Source organism: Homo sapiens, chromosome 3, assembly GCF_000001405.40.
Source record: "Homo sapiens chromosome 3, GRCh38.p14 Primary Assembly".
Lineage (NCBI taxonomy): Eukaryota > Metazoa > Chordata > Mammalia > Primates > Hominidae > Homo > Homo sapiens.
In genome coordinates this window covers 119606600-119628032 of record NC_000003.12, presented here as the reverse complement: position 1 = coordinate 119628032, position 21433 = coordinate 119606600, and the positions used below count along the sequence as shown (strand labels likewise).

General features: G+C 46.1%; 1 protein-coding gene across 6 annotated transcripts in view, besides 2 other annotated features; it reads right to left on the bottom strand.

Annotated features, from left to right (window-relative positions):
• The window catches only part of PLA1A (phospholipase A1 member A), a 31927-nt gene that overhangs the window by 1779 nt on the left and 8715 nt on the right, over positions 1–21433 (bottom strand). For 3 of the 6 annotated variants that reach the window (XM_017006572.2, NM_015900.4, NM_001293225.2), the window contains 8 exons: positions 21058–21259; positions 19086–19263; positions 18457–18565; positions 14915–15016; positions 11932–12021; positions 9847–10014; positions 8381–8470; positions 2801–2909 (listed from right to left, as the gene is read on the bottom strand). In XM_017006572.2, coding sequence (XP_016862061.1) covers positions 2801–2909; positions 8381–8470; positions 9847–10014; positions 11932–12021; positions 14915–15016; positions 18457–18499 — 602 coding nt within the window. In that variant the 5' untranslated portion in view covers positions 18500–18565; positions 19086–19263; positions 21058–21259. Of the gene's footprint in view, positions 1–2796; positions 2910–8380; positions 8471–9846; positions 10015–11931; positions 12022–14914; positions 15017–18456; positions 18566–19085; positions 19264–21057; positions 21260–21433 lie in introns of all 6 variants that reach the window. The other 3 variants (NR_120610.2, NM_001206960.2, NM_001206961.2) reach the window with 3 other exon arrangements.
• Positions 3709–3908: an enhancer, noted in NCBI's record as "active region_20318". NCBI's record gives its function as "activates an Ori minimal core promoter by ATAC-STARR-seq in GM12878 lymphoblastoid cells {active_cell/tissue: GM12878}" and the evidence as "EXISTENCE:reporter gene assay evidence [ECO:0000049][PMID:35858748]".
• Positions 15170–15332: a silencer, noted in NCBI's record as "fragment chr3:119331548-119331710 (GRCh37/hg19 assembly coordinates)". NCBI's record gives its function as "represses an EF-1alpha promoter that drives an FKBP-Casp9 reporter gene in an ReSE screen in phorbol 12-myristate 13-acetate-treated (for megakaryocytic differentiation) K562 erythroleukemia cells {active_cell/tissue: K562(+PMA)}" and the evidence as "EXISTENCE:reporter gene assay evidence [ECO:0000049][PMID:32094911]".

Sequence of the window (21433 nt, the reverse complement as noted above, 5' to 3'; positions counted from 1 at the left end):
CCCAGCCTCTTGGCTTTGCCCCCCCAGATTCCCTTTATGTTTAAAGATTCAGGCACCACTTTGGACTGAGACAAAGATGAGGGAGGAGTATGAAGTGATCAACCTAGCAGGGTGCTTCCAAAAGGGCTGTGGTACCCCCTAGGTACTAGGTACTGGAGACAAAAGCAAAAAATCGTGAGATTCAATGAGGAAAGTCTTCACGCTGAGTGCAAGGCACAGCCCAGCCAGCAGATCCTGAGGGTGGTGAGTGGGGGATCAAGGAGGGCGCCCAGCAGAGCTGCACCACCCAGCTAGGGAAGGAATTTGACTTGTGGGGCCCTTTGTGATCCTCCCTGGAATCCAAGTGGGACTCTGAAAAAGAGGAAAGAAGGAGGGCGCTGCGTTCCTCTCGGCGGGGGCAGGGGTGGTGTGGGGAACCACCCTTGCCAACTGGGTTTCCTGTTCCTTTCTGGCCTTCGCAGAGTGGTGATAGGGCCTCTTTGTGTTCTTTTTAGTCCAGTGTTAGTCATATCACTTGTTTTTTCCTTCTGAGGGAAGATCATGTATAATTTTGTTTAAAAACCATTCCCTCTTTTTTTAAATTCACAAGTCTTTTGAAATATTACAGAGGGAATAAATAAGATTGTTTCCTTTAAGCTTAGACTGAAGAGTTTGTAAAATACAAGGAATATGAAAAATCTTTTAAGTGAGTGGTTTGGGGAGTTGGCCCAGGTTAATTCTCCAATTAGAAGGAAATCTTAGCGTCGCATAAAGCTATAGAAATTTGGAAAAAGACCACACATAACCTCCCCGTTTTTCCCCCAATTTCTGATCTGCAAGAAGTGAATCATGTTCTGGTGCCTTCTTCAAAAGAGTTATGTGAACCTCTTCATGGAGGAGGAAGCGCTAATCTGTGGATGTTGACTGGAATTACTCGGGGAGCTTTTAAAATGTAGCTGTGGAGCCTATGCCCAGAGACCCTGATGTGATTGGTCTGGGTTGGGGGGCTTGGCGTCAGTATTTTTTAAAGCTCTCCAGGTGATTCTAACGTGCAGTCAGGGTTGTGGGTCATTTTCATGACTCCTGCCAGTGTTGCTGGACCTACCAATGGGCTAGAAGATGATGAAAACACCCTTCTAGAAGTAGCACAACCTTGAGCGGGTCTAATGAAAGGTACTTGGCTTACTGATATCCAGCCACAATCTGCAAGGCTCTGTGGGCACCTGCAGGCCTGTGCTGGAATCCTGATGGCTGTACCTAGCTGTGTGACTTTGGGTGAGCCAGAAGGAACACCAGCTAGTGGCCACGGTTTTGGGAGTGAAATGCACTCCTTCCAGCAGAAACTTGTAGTGCCTCACAGCAGAGTTCATGTCCAACATCCCAACCCGAGAAATATCTCCAAACTCACATCTGATCTCATCACTGTCCTGTTTAAAACTCCCAGTGGCTCTCCAAACTACTCTCAGGATAAAAACCTGTCCTTCAAGGCCTGGCAGGGTCTGGCTCTGACTTGCCTCTCCAGCCTCACAGCATCCCCACAACCCCAAATCTGTGCTCCAGACACACCAGAGGTGTCACATTCTCTCTAAGCCTGGCCTGGGTAGCTCCTGGAAAGCCTGCTCATCATTTCCTTGGACTCAGTCAGACTCTGTCTTCTATGCTGTCACTCTCAGGGCATTGCTCACTCATTTAAGTGTGTGTGCACTGGTCATTTCCCTGTTTGCTCTGGACTGATCTATTCCCCTGCAGGTTCCCCCACCAACAGGTTCCAGTGAGGTCTAACCCAGTGGAAGCATGCTCAGGTGGGTGGCTGCTTTGGGCAGGGGTTCCAGAGGGGCCGCACTTCCCATGGGTTCAGCTCCTGCCAAGCAGCCTTCCCTGTGGACCCAGCTTTGCCAACTCCACTCCTGCTTTGTCCCTCTAGCCTAGGGTTGTATTGGCTCCTGTTGTGATTAATCTCTGCATTGTGTCCCCATCTCTGTTTTCCAGCTCATCCAACACACTTGTAATGAGTTCACTGTGCTAAATTCCTTCTCTTGGACCTCCTCTGTTTTCCTGACCGGACTCTCACTGAGACAGTGACATTATCTGACAATCTGTCTCCCGCTGGCTTGTGAATAACTAACCGGTTGCTTTTTAAAGAAGCATGCACCATGGCTGCTGACTTCCTATCCCCTGCAGGCTGTGGCTCCCTACAGTTGGGGTTCCTTGCCCTCTCACTTCAAGCGTAGTCCCACCAGCCCCCAAGCCCAAGTCTGCCCCAACAAAGGAAGGGAATGACTACCCCCAGTTTCAGGAATCACCCAGCACCAAGCCCTCCTGGCCGCTAGTCTGGCCCTCAGCTCGCACTCCGTTGCTGACTGACCCTGTGCCTCAGATTCCATTCTGGTAACTGACCCAGAACTGCTCTCCTTTCCCAGGAGTGGGTGCTCTCCAGGCTCTGGCTAGCCCTTCCTGGGCTGGTGACTGAGGCCCTCCTCCCTACTGACATCCCTGATACCCGCACTGTCTGGATTCCAGAGTACTGTTTCCTCTCAGGGACCTGATTCCTATGTCCTCTCCATCTGTTGGGACATGCCATCCCTGCTGCCTGCTTGCCCTGCCTACTCTCATCTGAATCTGCTATACTTGGACCCACTACTGAACAGCTCCTCAGCATGTGTCTGTGGCTGGATCTATAGTAGGTGCTGCCCCCAGCCAAGCCGGCTGGGCCCATGCATCAGCAATCACACAGTCCCTGACCTGGGATGTCCATGTGTGTAAAATGAAAAAGTAACCAACTCCTAAGGGGAGGAGTCAACCAGGTGGGACACTTACGTACATGGTGATCTTAGATGAAGAGGTGATGTTACTGCTAAGGAAGGTAACCTCGATGTTGGTGTCCTTGTTTCTCAGTTCCTTCAAGTGAAACTCCACGAGGCTGTGATGCACTAGGAAACCAAAGCACAACAGAGACTGGCCAGAGGGCAGAAGGTGCAATGGGCAAAAACCCCAGAGAGCAGCAGTGTGGTTGGGAATCTTGGCTCTATCTCTTAGTGGCTGTGTGCCCAGGAGCAGATCACCTATAATCTCAGGTCCTCAGTTTCCTCAAGTGCAAATTGAGGATAATAAAAATAGACACTTGGCTGGGCGCAGTGGTTCACGCCTGTAATCCCAGCACTTTGGGAGGCCGAGGCGAGTGGATCACCTGAGGTCAGGAGTTTGAGACCAGTCTGACCAACATGGTGAAACCCCATCTCTACTAAAAATATAAAAATTAGCCAGGTGTGGTGGCGGGTGCCTGTAATCCCAGCTACTCAGGAGGCTGAGACAGGAGAATCGCTTGAACTCAGGAGGCAGAGTTTGCAGTGAGCAGAAATTGCACCACTGCACTCCAGCCTGGGCGGCAGAGCAAGACTCCGTCTAAAAAAAAAAAAAAATAGATACCCTAGGTCTGAAATAAGTGGGTTAATATGTATGAACTTCTCAGGACAGTGCCTGTGCCTAGGAAGCATTCAGTAATGTTAGTTTTTGTTATTTTGTAATACTAATGTTTTACTTCCCCTTGTTTGCTGACATATTCATGGTGGGATGATCTTGAATGAGCCAAAATGCATCTATCATATACGGCTATCTTTTGTTTGTGTCCCCTCCGAGTTCATGTTTAAACTGAATGCTCTGTGCAACAGTACTGAGAGGTGGGGCCTTTGAGGGAAGGGATTAAGTCATGAAGGCTCTACTATCATGAATGAAATAGTGCCTTATAGAAGGGCTCAAGGGAATTGGCAGGGCCCTTATTTGACCTCCTGCGTTCTGCTGTGTGTGAACACGGTATCTGTCCCCTCTGGAGAATGCAACAGCAAAGCACCTTCTTGGGAGCAGAAAGTGCAACCCTTATAGACATGGAGTGCCGGCGCCTTGATCTGGGACTTCCCAGCCTCTAGAGCTGTGGGAAAATAAATTTCTGAGCTTTGTAAGTTACCCAGTCTCAGGTACTGTGTCATAGTAGCACAAGTAGACTAAGACATAAACTAAAGGTTTAACTCATAAGGTCAGGCGTGGTGGCTCACTCCTGTAATCGCAGCACTTTGGGAGGCCAAGGCGGGTGGATCACCTGAGGTCAGGAGTTTGAGACCAGCCTAGCCAATATGGTGAAACCCTGTCTCTACTAAAAATATAAAAATTAGCCAGGCATGGTGGCAGGCACCTGTAACCCCAGCTACTAAGGAGGCTGAGGCAGGAGAAGCATTTGAACCCGGGAGGCAGAGGTTGCAGTGAGCCGAGATGGTGCCGTTGCATTACAGCCTGGGTGACAAGAGTGAAACTCTGTCTCAAAAAAAAAAAAAAAAAAAAAAAAGAAAGAGAGAATTAACTCATTAAATACAGCAACGGCCCTGCTCCCTCTCCACACACCCAGCGTCAGGGAAGCAGGCTGTGTGTGTAGGAGACTGCTCCTCTCCCTGCAGCCGCTGGTTACCTATGTGGCATCCAGACTCTCCCTTGAGCAGCATGGACACTGGAGCTCTCAAAGTGAGTGTCGCCAACATAGACTGGGTGTACAGCCTGGGCCATGGTGATACCCCTGGGACCTGCTGTCCCTCTGGCAAGAGAAGGTAAGAAAGATTACAGGCCAGGCATAGTGGCTCATGCCTGAAATCCTAGTACTTTGGGAGGCCAAGGTGGGCAGATCACTTGAGCCCAGGAGTTCAAGACCAGCCTGGGCCACATGGCAAGACCCAGTCTCTACAAAAAAACAAAAACAAAAAATTAGTTGGGCATGTGGTGTGTACCTGTAGTCCCAGCTATTTGGGAGGCTGAGGTGGGAGGATCACCTGAGCATGGGAGGTTGTAGCTGCAGTGAACCGTGACTGTGCCACCACACTCCAGCCTGGGTGACAGTGGGAGACCCTGTCTCAAAAAAAATCAAAATTAAAAATTTTAAGAAAAGCCAGGCGCAGTGGCTCATGCCTGTAATCCCAGCACTTTGGGAGGCTAAGGCAGGCAGATCATCTGAGGTCAGGAGTTCGAGACCAGCCTGGCCAACATGGTGAAACACCGTCTCTACTAAAAATACAAAAAAATTAGCAGGGTGTGGTGGTGGATGCCTGTAGTCCCAGCTACTCGGGAGGCTGAGGCAGAAGAATTGCTTGAACCCAAGAGGCGGAGGTTGCAGTGAGTCAAGATCGTGCCACTGCACTCCAGCCTAGGTGACAGAGCGAGACTCTGTCTCTAAATAAATAAATAAATAAGAAAAGAAAGATTACAGTTTCCCTAACACACTGTCCTTTTTTTTTTTACTAAGGGGTAGGTGCAACCTGGTGGCATTTTGCAATCACTTTAGTCTCGGAATTTTCCCAGGCTCCTTTGGTGATGGGAACATAGCTAGAGATGCAATCCTTCGCCTCTACTCTACCTGTACTTTCTCATTTGCCACATTTTATGGGCTAACATTGGGGAAGGGAACATAAACTGGATGCAGGTGAACTCAGCACTAAGTTGAAGGAGTGCTATGGCCCATCTGAGCTCCCTGGGGTTAGGAACAGGGCTCACCAAAAGGTGCCAAGATGCCAAGAACCCACAAGAAGAAAGGGGCCTTGAATGCTTCCCCTCCACAGAGGAGGACATCTTATACCACACCCTGTCTGTCTCTCCTTCTCAGATGTTACTATGGGATATCAATTGTTATGGGGACGGGCAAGGGCTGAACTGGAAAGGATGATATTTGCAATGTGGAAAAAATAGCTAACTTACAGAAGCTTTAGGAATTTAATTCTCAGGGCTGAGTTTGCTATATTATATTATTAATACTTCTTCCTTTGCTAGCAAGTATCATTGATTAAGAAAGTTTTCTAAGATTCTGTCTCCTTCTTCTTCTTCTTCTTCTTCTTCTTCTTCTTCTTCTTCTTCTTCTTCTTCTTCTTCTTCCTCCTCCTCCTCCTCTTCCTCTTCTTCTCCTTCTCCTTCTCCTTCTTCTTCTTCTTCTTCTTTCTTCAGAAACAGGTTCTTGCTCTCTTGCCCAGGCTGGAATGCACTGGCACAATCAGCTCACTGCAGTCTCGAACTCCTCTCCTCAAGCAACCCTCCCACCTCAGCCTCCCGAAGTGCTGGGATTAGAGACGTGAGCCACTGCACCTGGCCTACTTCTTTCTTCACTTACCCTGGAGGCCCCAAGGGAGCTAGGCCTAATGTTGGGTGGGTGGGAATTAGTGGAATCAAATCTGCACAGGAACATGTCTCATGTCGTACAACACAGAGTCCTGAGTGGTTGGTCAGGAGGCCTGGATCCAAGGCCCAACCCTGCTGCTTACAAGCCATGCTGCCTTGCCTAAGACACTGAGCCTCTCCATGCCTCAGTTCCCTCATCTGCAAGCCATAGCCCTCAACTTATCACACAGGACATGGTAAGGATGGAGTGAAGTAATGGAGAAAAGGTACACTATGTGAAAAACTGTTCTATGAGGGAATATATTGTTTAAAAATTATTATTTGGTAGAAGATCCTCTGCCCATGCTGGCGCATGCCTGGCACAGGTCAACATTGCTGAAGTCAAAGCAGACCAAGAGTGCTAGGCATGGGAGCCCAGTGCCATGATGGCCTGAGAGTGGCTGGAGAGCTGCTGGTCCCTACCCCCTCCCTACCCATATCTGTCCAGGGAGAGCAGGGAGGACTCCGCTTCCATCCCTAGAAGTGACAGCTCAAGGCAGAGCATGCCTGTTTATGTGCCCCTCTGTGGTTTTGGAACCAACAGGGCTACGCTTCTGAAGGTGTGGGGAGGTGGTCTCACAATAAATACAAAAGAGTCAGAAAAAACATGGCCCTGTGAACCCCCTCAGCAGGGACCTTAACATGCTGTTAGTCTCCAGGCATTCCCCACACTTTCCTGCTGGGTATATTCTTAGCTGCACAGACACAGAGGCACCAGCTCAGGTTGCTGTGAATCTGCCCAGCAGCTGGAATTAGAAGTCAGGACATCTGGTCCTGGCAACACCACCTCCACCACCAGACAAAACATCCTCCCGCATGCCAACTCAGATGGGGTGGCGCTGACAGAAGGGGAGCTGAGACGTACGGCCTGCGGACAGCAGGTTCTCAGAAGATGGAAGCATGGTGGTGGTGAGGAAGGAGTATAGAGTTTACAGTCAGGAGACCTGGAGTTGAGTTCTGACCTTTTCATCCAGCTGTGGAGACTTGGGCATGCCACTTGGTCTCTCAGAGCTTCCCTTTCCTTAAGTCTCCCAGTTGGGTTGTTGAAAGAGCTGATAAGGACATGAAAAGCCCACAGTTGACTCTGTAGTCCACTTTGCTCCTAAGAGGTAGCCAAAAATTTTCTCTGGCATGAAGATACAAACACCCTAACTATTCTTCTCCCAAATTCTCTGATTGACTAAGGGAAGGAAATTATTACTGATTGGGTTCCAGTCCCTGTGCTAGTGATCTCCTGTGCACCATTTTATTTTATACTCACAATTGGTTCTTTAAAGTAGGTACTGTTATGGTTCCCATTTTCACATAAGGATATAGAGTTCAGAGAGTTTAAATAACTTGTTCCTGATCACACAGCTGGTAAGTGGAGAAGCTGAGATTTGAATCCAGGTCCAGGTGAACACAGAGTCTGAGCTCTAGGCTCCATGTCATATGGCACCAGGCCTTCTGGTACCAGGAAGATATTTTCACAAAGATCCCTGCACTGACTTGACACAAGCTGATCAGAAAATCAGTTAAAATTGGGTGGCATGTTGTTTATCATCCAAGCCGGCATACTTTATCCTGTACACATGATAAAGCAAACAGGACCCCAGGATAACCAGCATAAACCAGGAAGTATAGTCACCCTAGTTAAGATGCACATAGCATAGGGAAGGATGACGGTTTAGCTTGTAATGTATTTCATGGATTCTGGACACATTTTTACTTCACATTTAACATCGTTACAATCACCAGCATCCTAGCTTCAAGGAAATGCCATGGTTAGGAGCAACAGTGAGAAGCTGGAATGCATCTGTGAAGGGGAAGGAGACCAGAGGGAAAGGTTCAGTATTCCCCAGGGACCCCAACCTTGGAGGCTGCCAGGGTGAGAACCACATAGGGTGGGCGCCAAGAAGTGGGAAATGAGAGTGCAGAAAGGAGGCAGCCGGAGGACACTCCTAAACATCACTCGAGAGAGAAGACCCACTAGAGGGTAAATTTTGAGGGTAAGAGGAAATACGATCAGTAGATAGACAGTAAGAAGCCCCCAAGTCCTCATCTGAAGAGCAATCGGTTGGACTCACTCTGAAAGTTTTGGTTCAGACCAGGGGCTGTTGCCACACCTCCGGTGATGCCTTTGCTCTTATCATTCACTCCCACCCAGGCTACCACACTGGGCTGGACTCCTCTGGTGGTGCCCTGGCAGAGCTGAGCTCATGCATTTCCCCCTACTCACTGCAGTACGGAGCACTGGAAGTAGTCAGGAGGTAGACTTTCACTTCCTTGGGGAGCGGCTCTATCTTGACACCACCTTGTTCCACCAGTCCTGGAAATAAAGAAGCAAAGACAGCAGAGTCCTGAGAAGGCTATCTTAGGGTCCCACAGCACCCAGCCACGTGTTTATTAATTCATGCACCCATTTATTCCACGGACATCTACACCATACACGCACTATGTGCTGTATTCTAAGGTGAGTCCTGGGATCCCAGCAACTCGGTCCAGTGGGCAGTAAACACACACATAAACGGAAATATGCTTTTCAGATCATCTGACTCATTCTTGGCAGGTTATTATAAGAAATCTGACACTAATCTGTCTCTAACTTGCAAAACCAATCTCCTATAGTAGTTGTTTTCATGACATTTATATCCCGTGCAGTGGGAGCATGGTGAAGCAGGAAGTGTTTGACCTGAAGACTAGTGGATGACAGGTGGAGAGAGGGCATTCTGGGAAGAGAGTATGGTTAGGACCAAGGCACACAGGTGAGGAAGCCCGATGTACACTTGGAAGTACAAGTAGTTAGCACCACCAGGTGTTCAGTGCAAGAGAAAGTGTAGTGAGAGATGAGGCTGGGCAGACAGTGTGAGGTGGCTGTTATGTCTGTGGGTCCATGGCATCTAGGGGAAACTGACATATGCACAATGAATAGGAAATAATGATGACTGGTTCTATCATTGGAAGCTACCCTACTTTACTATTTTGTCAAGCTGGTACCCATTTCACTCATATAAGCAGTGACAGGCTGCTGCAGTTGAGTGGCAGCCAGGGGTAGCGGGAAGTGAGAGAGTGCGGGAGGGAGAGAAACCATTTCCACTGCCCAGGAGTTTTTCCTGGAGCTCTTCATCCTGGATAACCACGGGATATGCATAGCAATGATCTACACAAGTGAGTTAGAGGCCAGATCCTGCAGCCTTCCTGGCATCCTTTCCCCAGACTGGCCTGGATCATCCAGGAAGGTGCCCAAGTCCTCCAGCAACTAGGCATCCCCCCAGCTCTCACGAGGCCACCAGAATATCCGACCTGTAATGTAGGTCTTGTGTTCCACTCTTAGGGATTCCCCACCATAGATTTAGGGTCTATGAAGGGTCATAGATTTAGGGTCTATGAAGAACTGGAGAATGGCCAGAAGTGAGAAAGACCTATAGGCAGCATCTGGTCTGAGAGTGGAGGAACCTGTATGTGGGAAGGGTGTGTGTGGGGCAAGGATGGCCATAGGGAACACTATAGAGAGTGAGGGGTGGGGCACGAGAACCAACCGTCCACCTCCAAGTAAGAACAGGCTGAGCACCTCATTGCTTAATTTTCTTTTCCCAAATTGGATAGAATTCTTGACCATAGGACATCAGGACATTAAGAGGGGACAACTAGCAGGGCTTGAACTTCCCCACATTGTCAAAGGAAGTCAAAGGGGTAGCACTTTACCTATCCTTGGGCAGGAAAGCAGAAAAGGGTTAAAGCAATCCAGACAGCGTCCAGCAAGGAAGGCCTTGTAGCTGGCACAGGGAAAGGCCATCAGTGGACAGGAATTCTCCAGGGCGCTGATGTAGAGGTGCACAGCCCTCATGTGATCACAGATCAGATAACTATAACCTGAACAGAGAAAAAACACAACCAAGGTTTCAGTCAAGACAAATGGAAATCTATGCTGTTTAGTGAAACTCTATTGAATTTTATATTCCAGCAAGCTGTAAATACATGCATGGGAGTCCCCTCAAATCACTTTTTCAGAATATTAGTGTACATGGTTACTACATTCTACTTTTTTCATTTTACTTTTCCTGAGATACATAAGCATAATCCATCAAGAAAATTGCTTGATTTGAGATGCATTCTTTTTTTTCTTTTCTTTTCTTTTCTTTTTTTTTTGAGACGGAATCTCACTCTGTCACCCAGGCTGGAGTGTAATGGCATGATCTTGGGCCACTGCAACCTCTGCCTCCTGGGTTTAAGCAATTTTCCTGCCTCAGTCTCCTGAGTAGCTGGGATTACAGGCGCACACCACCATGCCTCACAAATTTTTGTATTTTTCATAGAAACAGGGTTTTGCCATATTGGCCAGGCTGGTCTCAAACTCCTGACCTCAGGTGATCCACCTGCCTCAACCTCCGAGAGTGCTGAGATTACAGGTGTGAGCCACCGTACCTGGCCTTGAGATGGATTATATGATCATGCAAACTCTCCTTCATAAAATGGGAATATATAGAGAGTTGATGATGCTGCCCCATTTCTCAAAATGGGTATTTGTGCATATTTTTACCTCCATTATCATCAGCCATACAACCAATTTTTTACAACCTCATTATACCCTACCCAGCAGTGAGACTGCTGCATCAGCCGCCGTTTGTGGTCACTCTCTACACCCAATGTGCTGAGGCTCACCGGGCCAAATGACTGATATGCCGAATTTGTCAAATATCCCAGTTTACCAAAACTTATTTCACTGTTATTTACTATTTAAGTTTGCAGCATTCAACATTGGATAAATTGGCTGGAACTAAGAAGTATGTGGTGAGCTGTATACAACTCCAGGGTCCTGGGGTCTTTAAACTCTCCCTGCACCTTGAGACCTCGTTGCTGAGACCTGCAACCAAGGCCAAGCAATATTTTGACTTTCCTTTCCCCTGTGGTTGGGACACTCTGTATGGCCAAGCTCTCTCCAGTTGCAACAGGGAGCTGGGGCAGAGACAAACTAAACCCTTCTCAAGTTGTGTTATGAAGAAAAAATGAAAAGTGGTCAATTGAAATGCCACCAAATCTTCAAAAGCCATTGAAACCAAACTATCCTATTTTATCAGAATTGCTGAGAAATTCGCAAATTGCGAAAAGAAGCATGTTTTTGGAAAACTAGTAAATTTGGTAAAATAGATCAGTAGTTATTCAATAAGATTGTCAAAGGAATCCTTAAAATGTTAGAAATTTGGTAAAGCAAGAAAAGACTAAAAACATAGTAAACAGAAATCAGCATTTTAAATTTTTATATGAAATTCTGATATATTGGCTATATTCATAAGATATAAGAAAACCAAATAATTATTGACCTTAGATTTTGACAAATTTAGTCTGCTAAGAATATATCAATAAATATATTTTTAAAAATTCCAGAAGGCTGTATTTAAAGAGAGGAAATGTACAGTCATTGAATGTGTTCAAAAAGATCATCTTGAAAACAATTTTAGAGGACTGTTTGAGTTGGTAAATATGGTGAAATGGCTGGGCAGTGAATTGATCCTTCTGCTCACCAGCTTTGGGCACAATGGCTTGCCTCTGCCACAGCAAGGCTCTGTAGAGGATGCAGTTGGTGTGGACTGTGCCACACCCTCCCCTCAAATGCCTGGGCTCTGAAGACATCCATCCTTGAATACATTCTGAGTAAAGCGTTATGGGACATAGCAAAGGACACTGTCAAGTAGACCCTCTATGGCCCACTCTGGCTGACTCAACACAAAAGCTGTTGGTGAATTTCAATCTCCGGGGTTGCCAAATACCAGATTGTACTGGCTTTCTGACCTGCGTAAAAGAAGGTGGGGCAGCCAGGTTGGTCTTGGCCTCCGTTGACGAAGTAGTCCACATGTCCAACGGGAATCCGAATACCCAAATCTGAAAGGAGGCACAACTCCATTAACTTCCTTACTTCAGGGGGTCGGCTCACAGCGGACCTCAAACTCTGACCTTGGGAGCCCACCCACTCTCTGCCACGTCACTTCTAAGTGCTGTGAGACTTCACAGGATGAGCCCTCAGACAGATTTCTTTTCTTTTCTTTTCTTTTCTTTTTCTTTTTTTTTTCTGAGGCTTTCTTTTTTCGCTCTCTCGCTCTTGTCACCCAGGCTGGAGTGCAGTGGCGCCATCTTCTCTCACTGCAACCTCCGCCTCCCGGATTCAAGCGATTCTCCTGCCTCAGCAGGAGTAGCTGGGATTACAGGCGGATGCCACCACACCCGGCTAGTTTTTGTGTTTTTTTAGTAGAGACAGGGTTTCACCATGTTAGCCAGGCTGGTCTTGAACTCTTGACCTCAGGTGATCCACCCGCCTCAGCCTCCCAGTTTTCTAAAGGGATTTTTCATGCTAAAAGGAACCAAAGAGATTCTGTTGGTAAGATGCTCATATTTGCCTAAGAAAATCAAGAACAATATCCTGTAACACAAGTTTTTGTAACTCAGTAAATGTTATAAACTTGGTAAGTTTCCTCATTGAGTAGTTTTGGTTTTCCTTTGAGTAATAGTTCAGATAAATGTGTATGGGGTCACATTTCCACAGTCTCCCCAAAAACATATCTTTTGTGCTCTCCTGACTGAGTGGAAATAGAACATGGCTCCAGAGCGGAGATAAGAGAGCATCCTCTGCCCTCTTTCTGTCCCTGTGACCAATTCCTGGACCCTCTGCTGTGGCAGACTTGAGCCCTCAGACTGGCTCAGGCCCAGCTGCTGAAGACCCCGACTTTCTCCTTCTGTCATCTGTCAGTATTGGAAGAAATTGATTGTGTATTATTTGCTTACTGCCATCGACCTGGAGGTTAAGCAATGACCTATAAGCCATCCTTGAGTCTTGCCTTTCCCTCATACCCCACATGCAGCCCATCATGAGTCTAGTCAGCTCTACCTCCAAAACATATTTTGAATCTGTCTACTTCTCTCTGTCTTTACTGCCACCACCTTTGCCCAAGCCACCATCATCTCTCACCCGGACCCCTACTGCAGACACTCTCTAATGGGCATCCGGGCTTCCCTTCATGACTCCTACAGTCCACGTAGCCTGTAAGCTCCATGTAGGCAGGGACCTCATTCAATGTGTTGATTGCTGCCATATTCTCAGTACCTGCCACGTAGCTTAATAAATATTGATTGAATAAATAGAATGTTTTTTTTTTTAAGTCACATCAGGGAGAGGCTCCAACTTTGAAGGGGCCTGAGAGGCCTTGCTTAGGTAAATGGGTACCTAATAAGTCACATATTTAGCAAATTTAAGGATAGAAAGGATTCACTTTTTTTTTTTTTTTTTTTTTTTTGAGACGAAGTCTCACTCTGTCACCCAGGCTGGAGTGCAGTGGCAAGATCTCCGCTCACTGCAAGCTCTGCCTCCTGGGTTCAGGGCATTCTCCTGCCTCAGCCTCCAGAGTAGCTGGGACTACAGGTGCCTACCACCACGCCTCACTAAATTTTTGTATTTTTTTTAGTAGAGACGGGGTTTCACTTTGTTAGCCCAGATGGTCTCGATCTCCTGACCTTGTGATCCACCCGCCTTGGCCTCCCAAAGTGCTGGGATTACAGGTGTGAGCCACCACGCCCGACCAGGATTCACTTTTTAAATGAACAAGCTTAACTCACCTAACATAGCTAGGAAGAGGCCTGTGGGCTTTGGTTTCCTATCTGTGAAATAAAGGTGGGAAGAAGGGTTGGACAATACAACTGCATGTGTTTCTTTCAGAATCATGAGTCTTAAATGCTAAAAAGAGGCTTCTGACCACAGGAAATGAGATGTGGACATCTCTAACTTGAGCTGCAAGCTTGTCTGGTCAGGGACAGATGTTATTTCTCCCTGCACCCACCACACTAAGCACAGACCCCACAGGCATTTGCCGTGGAGCAGACATGAAGAGGAATGCCCCCGCCTTTCCCAACTGGTCAGAAGGACTTAATTTGGTCATAACGGGTTGAGAGATGGGGAGTCTTTCCTGTGCCTGTCACTATTGGAAAAGGGATTCTTTTTTTCTTTTTTTTGGAGACAGAGTCTCGCTCTGTCGCTCAGGCTGGCGTGCAGTAGCGCGATGTCGGCTCCCTGCAAACTCTGCCTCCCGGGTTCACGCCATTCTCTTGCCTCAGCCTCCAGAGTAGCTGGGACTACAGGCGCCCGCCACCACGCCCGGCTAATTTTTTGTATTTTTAGTAGAGACGGGGTTTCACCGTGTTAGCCAGGATGGTCTCGATCTCCTGACCTCCTGATCCACCTGCCTTGGCCTCCCAGAGTGCTGGGATTACTGGCGTGAGCCACCGTGCCCGGCCCGGAAGAGAGATTCTTATTCTCCACTGGACTGAAGGGCCAAGCTTGTCATCTGGGGAGGAGGGAAGTTGTGACAGGCCTGCCTGCCTGGGGAGTGGAATGGCCCAGTACCTTGGGACCAGGCACACCCATCCTAAAAAATCTTCATGACTTTCCCGTAAGTCAGCCAGGCAGCAATGCCCTACCCAGTACTGCTCAGCACACTGTTATTACTGCATTCATTTGAATCAGAAAGTGAGGCTCATAACCAAATACTTTTGGTCTATAAATGAGAATCCTCTTGCCTACAGTAGCTAAAAATACAACCATTCACCTCAGTGGTCAGAGACAGAGCTGGAAGAGACTTTCAATAGCATTTTGGTAAACTCTTCACTGTGCAACAGAAGCTCAGAGAGGGTCAGGGCATCTCTGCCCAGGGCCACAGAGCTAGATGCCAGCCTCCTAGGCGCTGCCTTGAGCTCATTCCCTCATCCCAGGAAGGTCACCCCAGCTCACTGTCGGTGTCTGTGTGGATGGCTTCCACGAAGAGGGCATCTCCAGCATCCAAGCGCTCTTCCACACTGGCCCTGGTGTACTCAGGTCCAGCGGGGTCCAGGCCTGTGAGAAGAGACTGATATGAGGGACCTCTTTCCTCTCAGCTGCAGGAACATTCATGGACCCACCACACACCCACCCTTCCAGTGCAGATCATAGACCCTCCCAGAAAAGACCCAAGGGTTGGGAGAATTAGCTGAGGACCACCTTCCTCAGGAAACCCCACTCTCTGTTGTCTCTCTAGAGGTAACCTCTCAATGACCCAGTTTCTCTGGCTCTAAGATGAGCTTGAGGCTGGGCGCGGTGACTCACGCCTGTAATCCCAGCACTTTGGGAGGCCGAGGCAGGCGGATCACGAGGTCAGGAGATCGAGATCATCCTGGCTAACATGGTGCAACCCCGTCTCTACTAAAAACACAAAAAATCAGCTGGGCGTAGTGGCGGGCGCCTGTAGTTCCAGCGACTCGGGAGGCTGAGGCAGAAGAATGGCGTGAACCCGGGAGACAGAGGTTGCAGTAAGCCAAGATCGCGCCACTGCACTCCAGCCTGGGCAACAGGGCGAAACTCCATCTCAAAAAAAAAAAGATGACCTTGATAACACCAATTATTTGATAGAAGTTAATGTAATGTAAAGCTTGTTACTACCTTCATGTAGTAATAACAATAGCTAAATTTCTTCGAGCAGTTACTATGTACCAGGCCTTATGCCGGGCAGTTTTACACACTCTAGTCCTCATCATAACACAGTGATTACTGTGAATACTACTATTCCCATCTCTCAGTTTGGATCCCTTCCCTTCCCCCTACAAAAAGCAGACCCTGCCACAAGAGTTCAAAGTAGATTTGGGAAAAAGTCTCAGAAAGCATGGTGAGGGAGTAGGAAAATAGGTCAGAGAATAAAGGAAAATAGTAGTGAGTAGGTTATCCCCATGGGCTCTCACCCCAATGGGGCACCTCTTTGAGATTCTGTAAAACAAGACCCAAAATTATCCCACCAAAAGGCTAGGAAGCTGAGGGTTTTTGCTACACAACTCCAGTCCCTTATTAACTGAGAGTGGCTCTGGAAGCATAAAGTCCTCCACACTTTTACATGTATATAACAAAACTGTCTAAAGTTTATTTCCACAGTGGGCCAAGGAGATGTGGGCTGTTACAACCATTTTACAGATGTAGAAAGTGAGGCTGAGAAAGAAATAAAAGGGGAAGTGCTTGCCAGAGCAATCAGGCAAGAGAAAGAAATAAAAGGCATCTAAATAGGAAAAGCGGAAGTCAAATTGTCTCTCTTCATCAATGATATGATTCTAGAGCACCCTAAAGGTTTGACCAAAGACTTCTAGACCTGATAAACAACTCCAGCAAAGTCTCAGGACACAAAATCAATGTACAAAAGTCAGTTGCATTTCTATGTACCAATAACATTCAAGCTGAGAGCCAAATCAGGAATGCAATCTCATTTATGATAGTCACACACAAAAATAAAGTACCTAGGAACACACCTAACCAAAACAGCAAAAGATCTGTACAAGGATAACTCTAAAACCCTGCTAAAAAAAAAATCATAGGTGACACAAACAAATGGAAAGGTATTCTATGCTTTTTGCATAGTATTTGCCAAAGTATTCAGTATTCTATGCAGGGTTAGAAGAATAAATATCATTAAAATATCCATTTTGCCCAAAGCAATCTACAGATTCAGTGCTATCCCTACCAAATTACCAATGTCATTTTTCACAGAATTATAAAAATCTATTCTAAAATTCATATGGCACAAAAAAAGAACCCAAATAGCCAAGGTAATCCTAAGCAAAAAGAATAAAGCTGGGCATATCACACTACCCAATTTCAAACTATACTACAAGCCTACAGTAACCAAAACAGTATGGTACTGGTACAAAAATAGATACATAGGCCAATGGAACAGAATAGGGACCCCTGAAATAAAGAAGCACTCCTACAGCCGTCAGACCTTTGACAAAGTTGACAAAAATTAACACTTTTTTTAGAGGAAAAGATACCCTATTCGATAAATGGTGTGGGAAAACTGGCTGACCATATGCAAGAGAATGAAACTGGACCCCTACCTCTCACCATATACAAAAATTACTCAAGAAGGACTAAAGACTTAAATGTAAGACCTCGAACTGTAAAAATCCTAGAAGAAAATCTGGGAAATACTCTCCTGAATATTAGCCTAGGCAAAGCATTTATGACCAAGTCCTCAAAAGCAAATGAAACAAAAACAAAAATTGACAAGTGAGACTTAATTAAACTAAAGACCTTCTGTACAGCAAAAGAAACAACCAATGGAGTAAACAGACAACCTACAGAATGGGGGAAAATATTCACAAACTATGCATCTGACAAAGGACTAATATCCAGAATCTATAAGGAACTTGAACAAATCAACAAGAAAAAAACAAATAACCCCATTAAAATGAGGGTGAAGGACATGAAAAGAGACTTCTTGAAAGAAGACATACAAGTGGCTAACAAACATTTGAAAAAATGCTCAACATCACTAATCATCACACCATGATATACCATCTCACACCACTCAGAATTGCTATTATAAAAAAGTGAAAAATAAATAAATAGATGTTGGCAAGGCTGCAGAGAAAAGGGAATACTTATACACTGTTGGTGGGAATGTAAATAAGTTCAGCCACTATGGAAAGCGATCTGAAGATTCCTCAAAGAACTAAAAATAAAATCACCACTTGACTCAGCAATCCCATTACTAGATATATACCCAAAGGAAAAGAAATTCTTCTACCAAAAGGATACCTGCACTAGTATATTCATTGCAACACTATTCACAATAGCAAAGACTTGGAATCAACCCAGGTGCCAACCAATGGTAGACTGGATAAAGAAACTGTGGTACATATACCCTATGGAATTCTACACAGCTATAAAAAAGAATGAAATTATGTTCTCTGCAGCAACATGAATGTAGCTGGAGGTGATTTTCCTAAGCCAATTAATGCAGAAACAAAAAACCAAATACCGCATGTTTTCACTTATAAGTGGGAGCTAAACATTGGGTGCACATGGACACAAAGATGGGAACAATTGACACTGGGGATTTCAAAAGGGGGAGGAAAAGCAAGGGACAAGGGTTGCAAAACTACCTATCAAGTACTGATTGCTACTTGGGCAATGAGATCATTAGAAACCTGAACCTCAGCATCACATGCTACACCCATGTAATAAACCTGCACACGTAAATCCTGAATCTAAAAGTTTTTTTAAATAAGAAACTTAAAAATAAAAAGTAAAAGAAGAAATACATGGCCTCTCACATTGATATTAGAAATCATGCAATAATAACACAATACCATTTTATGCAAAAGAACCACAATAAATAAATTTTAGTGGTAATAGGTGACTTGATCGTGAGAACAAAGGCTCTGTACTCCCCTCTGCTTGCTTTAGAAGAGATATTTTCAGGGCAAGCTTTCTCTATCTCTAAAGCCTGGAGGATGGGCAGGGAGGAATGTTACCTGTGATCTGTCCCAGCTGGCCTCCGAAGAGCTGTCCCACCATGCCCCCAACGTGGGCCCCCAGGCTAACACCAATGATGTGGATTGAGGATTCCGACACACCCAGCACCTAGAAGAGCAGGAACAGTGAGTTCCCCGTGGGCCACAGAGTCTGCTGGCTTCACAGTGGCAGGCTTTCCCCCAAAGCTTCAGAAGCCGAGGCCCTGGGCATGACACACCCACCACACTTACTTTGGAGGGAAAAAGGACAGCACTCTCATTGTTAATCACTTTTTCTCTTCCTGGGCTCCCCACCCTGACAACCCCCTTACTCTCCTTTTGGTGCCCAAAGTATGTGAGTAACGACCATGGCCATTCTCTCTTGAGGGACAACTAAGTGCCAGGCCATCTGCATTCGCTGTCTAAAGTGCCACGACACATTTTACAGAGGAGCAGTGGGAAGCTCAGAATATTCAATAAGCTGCCCGAGGTCAGTGCTGTGAGTGGCAAAGTCAAGATTTGAACCCAAGACCACCGAGCTACCTGGTGACTCTGCTTCCACCCTAAGCCTCCTCAGGCAGTGCTTTTGTCTTTCTGACCCTCTCTCCTCATACGCAGCCCAAACTCACCCTAAGCTCTTCTGCACCTACCAGGAGTTTATTGAGGAAAAGGGAGATCTCGAGGCTCAACTTAATCACATTTTTCACAGCTGAGAAGTAGACTCCTGTAGACCCATAAATCCAGTCCACGGCAATCACATTAGCATTCGTTGCACGCAGAAGGGTTCTAATAAATGTGTCAATCCAGGAAGGCTTTGTTCCTAAAACCCTAGACAGGGGGCCAAAAAAGAATGGAAAAATTACCTGCCAAGTGGATATTCATTGTCATGGAAACCTCTATTAATCTCAAACCCAGAAAAGAAATCAAAACTAGAGAAGGGCTCATATGAGGAGTTTATTACACAGTACTTGGAGCATAGGGAGGACACAATTCCAAAGTTGCCAGCCCTTCCGCCAGCACATATGCAGTCTTTGTGTAAATTATAAAACTTTGCCTTTTGTTCCAGGCAGATGCAGCCTCATGCTAGGGTTCAGAACTTAGCTTGGATGTCAGCCTCATCAGCCTTTTGTCAGGCACCTTTGCACAAGGCATAAACCACATAAACTGTATACATTGCATTGCTCCATTTGTGTTATTTGTGGAAAAGAAATATGCCCTAGAGTTATGCCCTAGAGTTAAGATTTGCGATCTTAATTCTCATTCTAAAATATAGGCTCTTTCTTTGTGGACATTTTCTTTTTCTTTCTTTCTTTCTTTCTTTCTTTCTTTCTTTCTTTCTTTCTTTCTTTCTTTCTCTCTTTCTTTCTCTCTCTTTCTTTCTTTCTTTCTTTCTTTTCTTTCCTTTCTTCCTTTCTCTTTCTTTTTCCTTCCTTCTCCCTTTCTTTCTCTCATTCACCCACTGATTTATTCAGCAAGCATTTATTGAGTACCTATGGGCCAGGCAGTATGCTAGGTGCTTTCCAAAAAATAAAGACAAATAAGATATAGTCCCTGTCCTTCTGGAACTTACTGTATAGTGGGACTTTTCCAGGAAAAGGAAAATGATAGAAAAATGTTTAGAAATCTTTCCCAACAGATTGGGATCAGGAAATAAGTTTTTTGATGACTCCCAGTATAGAAGCAAAGAGAGCACACTCGTGTGGACAGAGGAGCGCGGACTGGGTGTGTGCCAGGGAATGGGGTTGTGGGATTTAAGAGCAGACAGAGTGCCTTGCCTGATGAGCTCTCCACCTCTATTAGCTACCCCTGGGTTGGAGGTACACACTCAGCCTTGGAAAGTGGTGGAATATGAGATGTGCTAGAGGAGAGGGTTTGGCACAAGAGCAAGGAGAGATGCCTAAGGAAACATGTAGCTGAGTCTCTGGAGTCCAGGGACCTGAGAGGCGGAGACAGGCCAGAGATCAGGAAATGGTGGTCCTTTGTGCACAGCCTTTGTGTCTACCTTTTCATTGGGTGCCCCAACTCTACTTGCTCCATAGTGCTATTACTTTACCATATTCTCTCCCTCTTTCCTCCCAGAAACCTTTCTCTGTTTCTAGCCCTATAGATGGGCTTTGGAGAAAAGCTGTTCAAAGAAAGGATGGTGATTGGAATTGAGACTCAGTGACTATATATTACAACAAATTGTGGACTGGAGAGTATCAGAGAAATTGAAGAAGAGACGTGCATAGCTCCATCACACCCATAACCTCTGGGTATGACGGAAGTAGCACCCATAAATGGAAGTTTCTTAGGTCATAAAACCAAGGAAGAAGTGAAGAAGGGAAATACAATCCTGGGTAATAAAGGTTCTGTGTACGGAGATTTGTCCAGTCACAGACATGTACTGTTCGTGAGTGTGTAGACAAGACTGGGTGGAGAAGTAACATATATGACCAATAAGAATGAACACCATGTGTGCATGTTGACATGAGACCCCATCAAAGACAGCAGGATATGAGGGATGGAACATGTGGCCATTGGTAAATTCATTCCTCCCCTTGTTGCCCACTAACTTCTTATGGTATTATGGTTACTTGATCATTCTTAGTTGAGAAGTCCTGTTGGTTATTTAACTCCCACCTGAATCCATGGATAATTAGTTTGGTTCCCAGAGTGGCATTGAACCCAGAGTTTTGGAGGTCACTGCTTCCTTCTACTAGCTGCCCACAGCTAGGATTCGAAGGGACAAAGAGGAGAAACTGGACTTTGAGATCGGTGCCTTCAAAAAGGTTGGCGCTCTGGAAGTCAGCGCACTTTGGCTGTGGGGTAGGAGGTGCATCCCCTGGAGGAAAACAAAACAAAACAAGCAACATCCAAGGTGAGGTCATCTGTTCTTAGAAGGAAGAAAGATGACCTTGGAAGGAAGCAAGAAACAGGGGCCTGCAGGCATGGGGTTTATTATACATCAGCTAGTGCAATAATCACTCATTTATTACAGCCTTCATCACTTCTGTAA